Raw genomic sequence first — 12,960 nt, forward strand, 5'->3', positions numbered from 1 at the left:
CCTCCCAAGTAGCTGGGAATACAGGTGCCTGCCACCACTCCCAGCTAATTTTTGTATTTTTAGTAGAGACGAGGTTTTGCCGTGTTGGCCAGGCTGGTCTCGAACTCCCGCCCTCAGGTGATCCACCGGCCTCGGCCTCCCAAAGTGCTGGGATTACAGGGGTGAGCCACCACACCCAGCCAAGGAAGCATCTCCTCAAGTCACCATCCTTCAGATTCAGGTGGCCCCAATTCCTAATCCAATCAGTAAATAGCGCCAGCCAATAGGGGTTTGAACTATTACTAGTAGCCCCAGCAAGATAGCTGGTATTTGTTTTGTCTGCCAAGTGGACCCCACTCCCCCAATGCCAGCCTAATCTCAGTAGGGCCAAGCCAAAGCTTGTATGTGGCCCCTAAGCCAAGTGCTGCTTTAGTGTCTGGATTCCAGAAGGCCACGGGCATCAGCTGTCTTTTTTGTGCAGCCTGCTGCCCTAATACCCAAGTCCAACCCAGGACCCAGTACTTTTGATTGGGTTTAGATACTCTGCCTCTGTATTGTCTTCCAGAATCCTCTTCTAGGATAAAATCCCACCTTCCAAACTGAAGACAGGGTGATCCCCCTGCGAGGGACAGCAATCACAGCCAGCCTAGTCAGCAGATTTTCAAGGATTTCCCTATATTCCTCACTGCTATGCCCATTCCCCATTGAGGATCTGGTATTGATGGTTTCCAGATTCTGTAACTGGCTTCTCCTTCCCCTCTTTCTCCTGTACACCCTCTCAAGTCTTGAGTTGTCAAAGATCCAGTATGCCTTGCACCTGAACTAGGACATAGGGGCTAATACTTTATTATCAACTTTATTTTCCAAGTTGCAGAAACAGAGAGCAGTTGAATAAGCACATGTTTTAAAATGGTAATGAGGGGATGTTTGAAAGAAAAGTATATGGGAACAGTTGGCAGAGTATTTCTTTCCATGAGGGTAAACCGTTTTCATCCTGATGCATGATTTTAATTTCTAATCCACCCCACTTTTCTGTACTGTGTGTTCTAGGGCCTAATTATTTCTTTTCAAGTTACCTTAAAGCAAATGGCACTGTGAACCACTTAACTTAGAGCTGATGAAACACATATGCATGAGAAACCTTCCTTGGGGGATATAGGGTGAAAAGCAGTCCTGACAACTCCTGATTGGTTAAACGGAAATCAAGATCTATGAAATGATGTTCTGCCACCCTGAGCCTGGGTCATGCCATGACCCTACAGCTGATTGGAACTCACCTCTTGCCACAGATTCTCTGTGCATCTTCTTTACATTTCTTCAGCCTGGACCTTTCCCTCTGTTCTCATTGGGACCACTGGGTAAGTCAGCAAATGTTTCATTTCCCACTTTCCATTCCGGATGCAGGCAAGATAACCAAACACTTGTTATATAGCACTCCTTCAGTAAGCCCTGAATTTGCGTACTTCTTGTGCCTTGGAGATGGTTATAAGGGGCTTTTTGTCCCAAAGAATAACTTTTGGTCTCAGCATGCTTTGCCTACGGTATGCCAGAGCTAATCCAGATTTCTTTCAGGAAAAAAATTTAATAGATAATCAATAAAGATAATTTTTCACAGGCAAGAAAAAATGGCTCTATTCATGACCAAATAATAACCACTCCACTTTTGCATGACACTTTAACACCATAAAAACACTTTGGCAGATATTGTTTTCTCATTTTGCTTTTACCAAACCTCAACAACTGGATCAATATGGCGCCATCTACTCAACAGATAAGGAAACTGAGTCACAGGAATGGTAAACAGTTTGATCATGTTCACACAGCTGATGAATGGTAGAGCCATGTATAGAAACCAGGTCTCCACTCAAGGAGAGAAAGAGAGAAGTCTCAGAAGCAAAACATAAGACATCAAAGAAGCAAAGTTGACGCTTACATGGACATTTGAAGGTAGCCCCAGGCAGGGATGCTGGGAGGTCTAGTGAGGCCTCAGCATATAGATATACATACTTGTATTTTAATGGTCTGGTTGCTTTACACACACACACACACACACACACACACACACTTTTTAATACACTTACAAAATACAAATGAACCTAAAACCTCATTGGATCAGAAATTCGAAGGGTACATGAAAGTTGAAAGTGACATAGGCAAGTTGCCCACCTCCCCACTCTATCACCATGCCTCTCCTCCTGCTTCTTGACCAGCCCTGACCTTGGGAATTTCCTTAAGCCATCTTCATTAAGGGTAATACAATAGGTTCTATCCACTCTCTCTTTTAAAAGGTGGTCAATTTTAGTCTTTCCCATTAGTGAAAGAAGGAGAGCTACTTTACCTTAATCATTAGCTTCACTGCCAAAGGAGAGCAGGCACATGGGGTCTACAGGGCCTTGTGCAGACTCTGAGCTCAGGCAGGATCATCAATCATGGAGCTGCCTGGCCTGGGATGCTCCCTCACTGGGACATGTGACTTGGGCACAGCTGGACCCTTCGAAACTGGCTGGGCACTGCTGGGCCCGAGCCCGGAGATGCCCGCCCACCCACAGGCTCCTGGCCGGCCCTTGCAACTGTTTCATTTACTGCTTGGGACAATTCTCCACAGGGCTCAGGAAAGCGCATGCTGCTGCCACACTCGGCTCCGCTTCCCCTTCCAAACCCTAATGAGGTGAGATAATGGATGCAGGAAAGTGTGCAAATGCAAATCAATATGGAACATATGCTCCAGGTTCCTCTGTTACCTCAGAGCCAGGCAGAGAGAGAAGAGGAAAGACTTTGAAAATATTTTGAGACCAGGACTTTTTACTCTGCCCTAAAGAATACCAAAAACTGTGAAACTGTAGCTTCCTTGCTCTTTTGCAGCCCTGGACCAGGAGACAAATTGCTAATTTTGATGGTGTCTCAGGAATGGCTTTACTGCTCACCTGTCTTTATACTACAACACAAAATTAAATCATCCAGGAAGAATGAGGAACAAATATTTGGCACCAATTCTCCTATTTCACTTCTGCGAAAGTCTCAGTATCCCTTTGAGCATGGAGACGGAGGCCTTGAACTGAAGAGGAGAGCCGGCCATAGGCCTCTGGATCTCCCCAGCCAGGCCTCCTGCCCCCTGCATTTTGACTCAAGTAGCCCAGGCAAAAGGCCAGGCAGAGCTGGGCCTTCTGCCCGAGCCATTGCGTCAGTGGGCTCAGCAGGCCACACTGCTGGCCAAGGAGGTCTCCGCTTTCCGGAGTCCAGGGGATGGAGAAGCTGGCATGGCCCTCTCCGCACTAGCCAAATATCCTGCAGGGGGAGCTTTTGACCGGACCTTTCAGGGCTTACATCAGATGCTGAACAAGCAAGGGAAAGGAAGCTAGCATTTGTCTGGGCTGCCTGCTCTGTGCCCCATCCTCTGCATCCCAGTATGGTCAGTGTTCTCATCTCTGTTGACAACATGAGGAAACAGCAAGACTCCAGGTATTCAAGTAAACAGTGGAGACGGAAAGAAAACCCAGGTCTGCCAGTCTCCAAACATGTACTCTTTCTGCTTTACAAGAAGGCATTTCCTTTGTTTCCTATACCCTGCTTATGGTCATGACATACGTCAACTGAGCACTCAAGAACCAGAAGTCCCCAAAATCATTAGTCAACAAGGATGAATCAGTTCCCTGCAAAGGCCCATCTTTTCTCCTCACAGACCTCATATGTTTTGATAACGGATCACAGGCCCTCTGTCATTCCATCTATAGGCCCTTACCTTAACCCAAATCACTCTTTAGCAAGAACAGAAATGACAACAGTGACAAGACTGACCTCACAAGTATCAAAGCCTTTCAACATGTAGCAAACTCCTATTTATCCAGAACTCTCAGAAAAGGAGTAGAGGGTGCTGTGCAGACCAGCTGATTTCGTAGACAGCCTTCAAGCCCTAATACCTCTTACTGGCTGTCTGACCTTAACCAAGTTACTTTCCTAGAGGAGCTGGAGAACCTAGAGGACTTGGCTTCACATCCTTCATGACAATGGGATAATAGTGACTGTCCTAAAGGGTTGTCAGGAGGATTAACAAAATATGAGCCGGACCCTGAAGATAGACCATCTCAGCTCCTGCCCCTTATCCACTGCCTGGTAGTCATACAACCTTGGGCACAACACTTAACCACTCTGTGCCTCAGTTTCCTCAACTATAAGATGGCTTAGAACAGTGCTGGTTCAGGGTAGTGCTGTGAATTGAAATTAAAATAAGTAAATGATGGACATGAAGTGCTTAGTGGTACATAGGAAGTACTCTACAATGGCAACCATATTCATGAGTCACTTGCAAAGATTTCAAATATCTTATCTTTAACTCTCCACATAGCCACTCTTCTCATTTTTAATCAAGACATCTGCCTTTAGGATGGTGAGTCAACAGGCATTTCTCCATCATGCCATGTGCCTAGACACTACGATGATGGAGGATCTCTGGTTCCCTGTGCCGCACCTTTGGGTCTGATACTGAATTAGCAGGTCTTGCTTTCCCACAAGCTGCAGATTAAGTCAGGGACCCTGTCCTGGGGCAACCATCTCTCTGGACTGATATATGGGGAAGATTCCAGCAATAAAAGCAGGCAAACACTCTAGATACCCAAGAGGGTGTCCACTGTGTGCCCACTGGCTCTGAACACAGTCCATTGGCTGTGCTTAAAGCAAAGTTGATGCCCCCTCAAGGAGAAGCTAACTGAACCCCTAACAACTTTAATGACTTGTAAAATTCTCGGAGATAATGCCTCCACACAAACATGTTTATTTTGCTAAGAATTCACAATGCATGAATAGGTCATGATCTTGCAGTTTGAGTTTCTGGATAAGAAATGATTAGGGATAGAGGCCATGGCTCACCCAAAACATTCCAGTGCTAAAGGTCAGCCAGCGTGTCTGCAAACAAGGTTTAGAAGAGATTTGCCCCTAACATTTCTGGGACCCCAGACAAGAGTACAGATGGAATCCCACTGTGAAATAAAAACGTTCTGTCCTCCTACCCTGACAAAATGAGGTCGTAAACTAGAGAAGGGCAGATTCATGTGTAGAATTTGTAGACTCCTCAGAGTTTTGTGCGAGCATAAGGTGGCACGAGGAGAGCTACTCTGTGACCCTTGGTTCATCTGTAGCACCAGGGACCTCATGGGTCTGAGCATGGACACCACAGACCATGTGTCCGGCTCCATCCACACTCCCTTCAGATAGCCACCCCTCAGACTTAGAGGCCACACTTTAGTGCCTGGACCATCCTCAAAGGATGGACCCCGCCTTGATACAGGATGGGGGTTGTTTATGTAGAGAATTCCAGGAACCCTGAACCCAGAGTATGGTCTAGAAGTGGGCAGTGTGAGCTGGAGTGAGGGAGAATACTCTCAGCCCTGCAGACCCTTTGCTGTGATGAGGATATGCGGCTGCCAGAAGCTAGATTGGGTGTTTCTCAGGTGCAAGACCCCTTTTGCCCAGGACTGTGCCTAAGACTTCAATCATTGTCACTTTAAATGTTCAGTGGATCTGGGTGAAGAGTAGACTGCACAATCATACTGTCTACCAGAAACCTACCTCGCTGTCTTCTATACCACTTCCTCAGACCCTGAGCTTTTCTGCAATAACCGCAATACTTCATTACTTGAAATTCAGCATCACGGGTCCTTAACAGATTTTTGTTGGCTGAGTCTTCTTCTGTCTCTGACACTGATATCACCTGAAGGGAAGACATTTCAAGGAATGCTATGTCCCCCACCGTCACATCTCTCCCAGCAGGATATTGTTGCAGAAGGTCATATCTCTATCCTGTTTCCTGTGGTCACTTGGGCTGATAAACAGGACCCTGGACTTCTGTCCCCAGGTTAGAAACTCACCCGCTCTAATTAGCATAAGTTGCCCATTTTTTATTACTATTGCTCCTTTCTTTGTTTTTTCTATTGTACTTTTCCAAAAAGATAAGTTATTGGAATCCATACTGAAGGTTTTAAAATTTAGAATAATAAAGTAAATCACTTTTTTTGGTAAGTTACACCATGCAATATATCATTCAAGCTTAGAATCTCCATTGATGGCAAGTGCATTTACAGGTCATAAAAACACTCAACAGAGACACTTCTAGGAAGGAGTTGTTTGTTTTCTGTCTGAAAATACTTTCTTCTGCACAAGAAACAATATCACTTCGATTTTGACAACTTATTCCACTGGTGTTTAATACCTCACCTCTTTAGTATATACCTCAGTTTCCCCATCAGAACAATGAGGTAATGAACTAGAGCAACTGTTCTCAGGGTTTTTTGATCTCAGGACCCCTTTACACTCTTCAGAATCATCGAGAAACGTAAAAAGCTTTTGTTTATGTGGGCTGCATCTATCTTAACATGGATGCATGTTTTCTAAAATTCTAATTTCTGCTTGAAAGCTCAAATTTTATCATTACCAGCAAATACTTTCAGATGTTTTTCAGTTAGCAGGCTTACTTCTTTTATTCTCAAAAAAATGTATGCCTGCTTCCCAAGTCTGAATAACTCTAGTTTTTCAATTATTTGGTCAAGTAAGAATACTATACTCTGAAAAAAGTAGGTAGTTCAGTTAGCAACTCAAATAACCACAGAAGTGCTTTTCAGAGAGGCTACCGTTGTACTTCAGTATGCAGCAGATACAGAATAGCAAATGCCATGTACTCAATGGTCAATATTTAATAAAATTAACAATTTGCGCCATTTTATGAAGAATATTCTTAAGTAAACTGGCTTTTTTTCGCCTGTGAATGTGTGGCCGTTAAGAGTATGATCAATGGCTACTGGTACAGTTTAGTGCCACTGCCTTGACACGTGCTAAAGTGCCAGCAGTTTTACCCATCATTGCTTTCCTGCCATTGATGCCAATGTCAACCCAACTAAAATGGTAAATAATATGTGGTATTATTATGAAAACAGTTTTGATCTCAGAGACTCCCTGAAAGAGTCTTAAGGATTCCCAGGGGTCCACAGACAACACTTTGGGAATCACTGGACTAGATCACTATTTGAGTCCCTTTCAATTCTAATGTAAGATTTGGATATTTGTTTACTATTATATCATTCATGATTCTAATGATGTTGTGGGTTTTACTTTTCTCTCCTGTACATTCTTTTCCTTCAAGACAAATTTACCAGAAGCTGCCTTGCTTTACTTCCTTTGAATTAGCTGTTTTTTCATTTCTCCTTGCACCTAGTTCTCCTCTCTGGAAAAAATGCTCTGCATCATAATTTCCATATAATCTCTGCAATGATGAGTTCATTCACTGGTTCATTCACCAGTAGTATGAATTATACACTTCAATTAATACAAGCTTACTACATGTCTAACCCTGTTGCAGTCAGCGGGTCACCAGGACAGGACGTAGAGCTCTTCTTCTCAGGAGGGATCTTCGTCTCCTGGCAGAAACATACATGTAAATAGAGAATTGCTATAGAGTTTGAAGATTGTGTGCCAGTGTGGCCTAGAAAGAAATAAATCTCATTAAAAGGTGTTCCGTAATGGCAGCTGGAGGGTGAGAGGCTGTATACTAGATTTTACCACATGCCAGAATCTTAACTGATAACCAGCTAGCCTTTTCCTGCCCAGTATCTGTACAGTACAAACGAAACAATATCTAAAGAGGTTTTTCAGCTCAGCACTTTAGGAAAATGAAAAAGGGAGTCCCTAAGAAGAGCTGAACTCACAGTTGATTACAGTAGTTCTCAACCCTGCCAACATGTTAGAATTACATGTTGTGCTCTCTGTAAATATCACCACATTGAAATGCTCTGATTTAATTGGTCCAGGGAAAAGCCCAGGCATCAGTCTTTTTAAAAACATCTCATGATATTTGTAAGTGTAGTCAGGGTTGAGAGCCAGTGCTCTATAATGAAACTTACAGAAAATTGTATTTAAGGAAATGCTAGCAGATGCTACAAATAAACCAAAAATTTCAGTAACAAAGCAGAAGGTGCTCTGGAGTGGCTAGGAGCCACCTCCTAAGTGCTGATTCAGGAATGCAGGATCCTTGCATCTTGTGGCTCCACCATGTTTAATAAGTAGTTTCCAAGTTTAACTAGGAAAGAGGAACAATAATGAGAACGGCACATGGGAGGTGTTTATGGGCCAGGCATGAGTGACACCCATCTCTTCTGCCCATATTCCATTGGCCAAAACTCAGTCACTTGGCCATACCTAACGAGAAAGAAGGTTGGGAAATTTGGTTTAGCTGTGTGTCTAGGAGGAAAAGGAAATAGGTTTGGTGAATGTCTAAACAGTTTCTGCCGCAGAGATGCTTACATTCAGATAATTTAGAGAATATAATTGTCTTCTCCAAGTTCACTGCAAGGAATAAACAAAAAAAAGATAGTGTAGGGATCTATAGACTTTAAGACATGTAAACCAATAATAATGGATGTATCTTATTTAGATCCTGGTTTAAACAAAATAAGATTTTTAAAAATGTGACATTTATGACACATTTAGAAGATTGAATGCTAACTTGATGTTTCATAGATATGTATTAAAATATTTACAGATAAAATAATATGATATCTGGGATATGCTTTAGAAATACTTTGGGAACAAAGGAGGATGGATGAAATAAATTGGCCACAAGGTGATAGCTGTTGAATTGTGGGTATACTATACTAGTCTGTCTACTTTTATAGATGATTGGAATTTTCCTTACTATGTCTTTCTAAAAAATCAGATAATTGTGAGTTCCAGTTATAGTGTTCAGCCCCCTTTTCCTGTGGAATTGCTGCCAGGCCTACCTTTGACCCAAGGGAATAGTCCTTCTGCCAGTCTGTCTGGATCTTTTCTGCAAAGAAACATAATATCTCCGGGGAAATCCCTTAATGTTTCAAAGCCTTTTAACTAAGTCTTGGACTTTACTTGTATTTGCCCAACATACAGTCACTAAGTCACTGATTTCTCCTGTGGGTGTTTTTGATTCCACACTGTCTGCAAAATACCAGCTGTGGCCAGGGGTTGCTGCAGCCCTCTGCCTCTCCTGTGAGCACCCACGGGCAAGCATTCCTCAAGGAAGGACATTTACCAAAAGCTCCCTTTGGTAAAAAGAATAATTTCCTGCTTGAAAATAGAAACAAAAACTGAACACACCAGCATTTTCTTTGCGCTGTACGTAAACGCACCTCAAGAGGCAGAGCTTGAAGGAAATTCTGTGCATTACCTATAGGATAATGTTGGAGGGAAGAGTATAAGGCTTTATGTGTGCGGTGATAAAATCTAAGAACTGGTTTTCCTTATTCATGTTTCTCTTTCCCTTCTTACCAAAAATCACTCAATAGTCAATACGTTCTTCAGCCCCAGATTCCCTCAGTTCTCCGGATTCCCGGGATGCTCCTTTAACAACGTTTTTAGGGGGCTCTTTCCCCAAAAAAGTCTTCCTCTGCCTGGGCATATTCACCTCTACCTATCTCCCATCTCCTCCTCTGTATGTACAGTCAGACTCAAAACTAGAAGTCACGCTTAGTGCTTCACATCCATTTATTCTGTGAAACTGGATTCTCATGGAACCCCAGCTTTCTTCTCTATCCCAACATCTTTCCTTTCTTCTACATCTTCACAGCCACATCTTTCTGATCCCAGCCTTTGCTTGTTTCTATTGCAAGAACCTCCCACTCAGTCATCTGCCACCTATCACCTATTGTTGCTCTTTCTTTAATTCTCTGAGGTTTATTATTTTAAATAATGAATTTGCTTTATTGCCTTTTAGTTCCCCACATACCCCACACTCTAAACATGATTCCTTCTGGATGCCTTCAACATACGCATGTCTTCTCTACTTTTATCCAAAGGGATAGATATACTTCACCATCTCTGTTTTTCTAATTTAGCAACTCCCAGGTTCTGGAGCCCCTTGACATGTGGCAACTAGACAAAAACCAGGGTAGATTGGGTCTGTAGGTTGCAGATAACAAGCCAGTGTCATAACTTAGAAAATACATAACTAAATTATACAGGCTATATAATAGATTTTCCTTGTTATTATTCCGCTAGCTTTGAGTGAAGATTTAAGTACAATTTTCACTTACCTCCATTGTACTACGAGGTATTACAATAAAAGTGTGTGTGCTTACTCAGAGCAGTGTTAAGAGAGGAAACAGTGCCACCTAGAGATAGTGGCAGAAATAATTAACTTAAGATCCTTAGAAGAATGCAAATCTTAGGGGGTAGGTTTTCTATGAGTCCCTGTGCTCATTGCTAATTCTGGAGGATCTCTGATTATTTTTAAATGAATGACTGTCTGCAGTCATTACCTCCTTTACAAACTTCTCACACTGAATTATCATGAAGAGAGCACCCTTTGAAGGCAGAGGGAGGTGACAAACAAATTCCAAGAAAGAAAGAAAAATACCGGTGGCCTAGAATGGTGAAATTCAGTTCCAGTGCTACCTCTGTGACTAACGGGTTATGTGGTATCACCTGACCCTTTGAAATTGTTTCCTCTAAAAAGATGGTCTCTGCACTCCTTACAAACATATACACACAAAAATAGAATACCTTCCTAATTTTTTTGCCATCTTTCTCTCTCTGGGGAATATGCATAAGACCATACATTAATATCATAACCCAGAGAAACAGAGATTAACCAACGCTTACATCTGAAGAAATTCAGTGTGGTGTTATTAAAGCAACTTCTAAGCATTCACATGAAAAGACTATCTTAATTCTATCATATTTTCCTTCGTGCTGCTTAACACAACAATTGAAAGCACTCATTCTGAAACCAGTCTGCTAGAGTTCAAGCCTCTTAACTTTTCCACTTACTAGTGCATGATCTTAGAAGAGTAGTTAGCTTCCTAATATCACAGTTTCCTTATTTGTAAAATAGGAGAGTAAAAGAACTTATGTGATGTGGTTGCTGCAAGGACTAAATAGGTAATAGAACAGTGACTGGCACATAGTGAGCACTACATGACTGTTAGCTGTAATTCTTATCATGACAATTATTAAGTAGAAAATTCCATGGGGTATAAGACTTTACAATACACCTCTTTCACTTTTGCATGGCTTTCATGCCTGAATGGAATCACACATTTTTTAGAGATAAAAATCTTCGAGAATCTAACCCACATATTCAACCAGGAGGGCTTTGCAGAAGATAATGCATATTATCTTCTGCAGACAAATTTTTTACATGGTGGTCCCAGAATTTTTTCTTTCCCTATATACATAAATACAAACTTTCCCCCTGCCCAGTACACCTCTATTCCTGTTTCCCTGATTCAATAAGGGCTGAAATGAGAACCCAGAAGCCAGCCTTGATTATTCCCTTTTCCTCATCCTCCCCATCCAGTTATTCAATAACTGCAGTCATTTCAACTTCCAGAGTATATTTGGACCCTGTCCTCCTCTCTCCATCTCCACAGCCTGATCTAAACCACCACCATCAATCACTTTCCAGTGATTGATCCACTCCACAACACCCTCTGCCGGGCCCTCAACTTCTCTTGTTCTTCTACAATTCATTCAACATAGTAGTCATAGACCCTCAAGAAATGTAAATCAGATCATCAGCTGCTTTATATTTGTCATCTTCTATAATTCTCACAACGGTATAAAGAGTCTGGTATTTGGCCAATATTAATTTTTTGCCCTGCCCTGTTCTGATTCTATTTCTGATGAGGCCTCATTTTCTCCACGTTCAGATCTTGAAGTCACATATCCTTCTCCAACTCCTTTCTTTGCTCCAGAATTTACCGGCTTGTGTGGGCTGGGGGAGTGAGGTGAAGTGAGTGTTGGATCAGCTAAAGTTGGTTCGCTAGAAAAAGTTTGCTACTCTTTGAAGGACTACTTGACAGATATCAGAGAATAATTAATAGCAGCAGGAGATCCAGGTAGAGGATGGCTGTGTTTCCTTCCCTTAACAATTCTGAACCAGAGTTCCTAGCAGGGTACCTGGCAAAGCATTTTTTTTAATAAAAATGAGCTAGATTCATGCATGAACTAATGAATGATTGAACAAATGATTGAACGAACCTACCTGCTGGCTGTCCTACTTAGAGGTAGAGACAGAAAAATAGACTGCTTATAGCTTATGAGTCTATGGATCCTTGTTAGTTTTAGCCACACATACACACACACACACAAATGTGTTGGAGATATTGAATGTCTCCAGGTACAGACAAAGTCATGTAGCAGGTTTACATCTTCCAGGAGTGTCACCAGTGACAAATGTCTTCCCCAAATTCCCTAGACCCCAGAGAACTGAGTTATCGCAGTAGTTCACCATAGCTACGTGAACTACCCCTGCATGTAAGTCTCAAAATAAGAAGCAGCCTATTTAAAAACTAACAAAACTATAACTCAGTTCTTTGGAGAACTGGATTCATCTGAGAAGAGAATTACAATATAATAATTTATTTCATACAGAGTAATTAATAGTCTCAAAGTATTATACACGTGGCAAAATGCCCATCTCAAAGGGAGAAGAGCATATGGTAACACTAAACACATTCATAACAAAGAAGCAAAGAATAGTTAAACAGAAGGCTTTGGTTCCTAAAGCTTGTATATTTGGACTGTCCCCTATGGTAGTGTAATTATAAATTAGAACAGGTTTTGTAAGGTGGGCCCATATTTGAGCAAGGTCAACCACGGCCAATGACTATTGTTAGCCATAAGCTCTCCCTTCTTCCGTCTGTTCCTTCCTTCCTTCCGTCTGTTCCTTCCTTCCTTCCTTTCTTCGTTCCTCTAACCCTCCCTTCTATCCTGCCCTTGCCCAGAATGTGACCAATAAACTCAGTATTCCCTGAATTAATATTCACTCATATAAAGAAACATTTTAAAATGATACAAATAGCAAATAAATGTATTTTAAATATATTACCTTCACAGTTGTGAAAGAAATGCAAATTTAAAATAATAGGCATCACTTTATATCTATTAAAGTTGTAAATAAATTAAATAGTAACATCAAATTCTGGCAACATCACAGGTGAAACTGGACTCACTCACTGGAATATG

At 41.9% G+C, this 12,960-nt stretch overlaps 2 annotated features.

Annotated features, from left to right (window-relative positions):
- Positions 1,991–2,814: an enhancer, noted in NCBI's record as "H3K4me1 hESC enhancer chr5:114117551-114118374 (GRCh37/hg19 assembly coordinates)". NCBI's record gives its function as "activates a minimal SCP1, AML or CMV promoter by ChIP-STARR-seq in naive H9 embryonic stem cells {active_cell/tissue: H9 hESC(naive)}" and the evidence as "EXISTENCE:reporter gene assay evidence [ECO:0000049][PMID:30033119]".
- Positions 2,815–3,636: an enhancer, noted in NCBI's record as "H3K4me1 hESC enhancer chr5:114118375-114119196 (GRCh37/hg19 assembly coordinates)". NCBI's record gives its function as "activates a minimal SCP1, AML or CMV promoter by ChIP-STARR-seq in naive H9 embryonic stem cells {active_cell/tissue: H9 hESC(naive)}" and the evidence as "EXISTENCE:reporter gene assay evidence [ECO:0000049][PMID:30033119]".

The sequence above is a fragment of the Homo sapiens genome, chromosome 5 (genome assembly GCF_000001405.40).
Source record: "Homo sapiens chromosome 5, GRCh38.p14 Primary Assembly".
Lineage (NCBI taxonomy): Eukaryota > Metazoa > Chordata > Mammalia > Primates > Hominidae > Homo > Homo sapiens.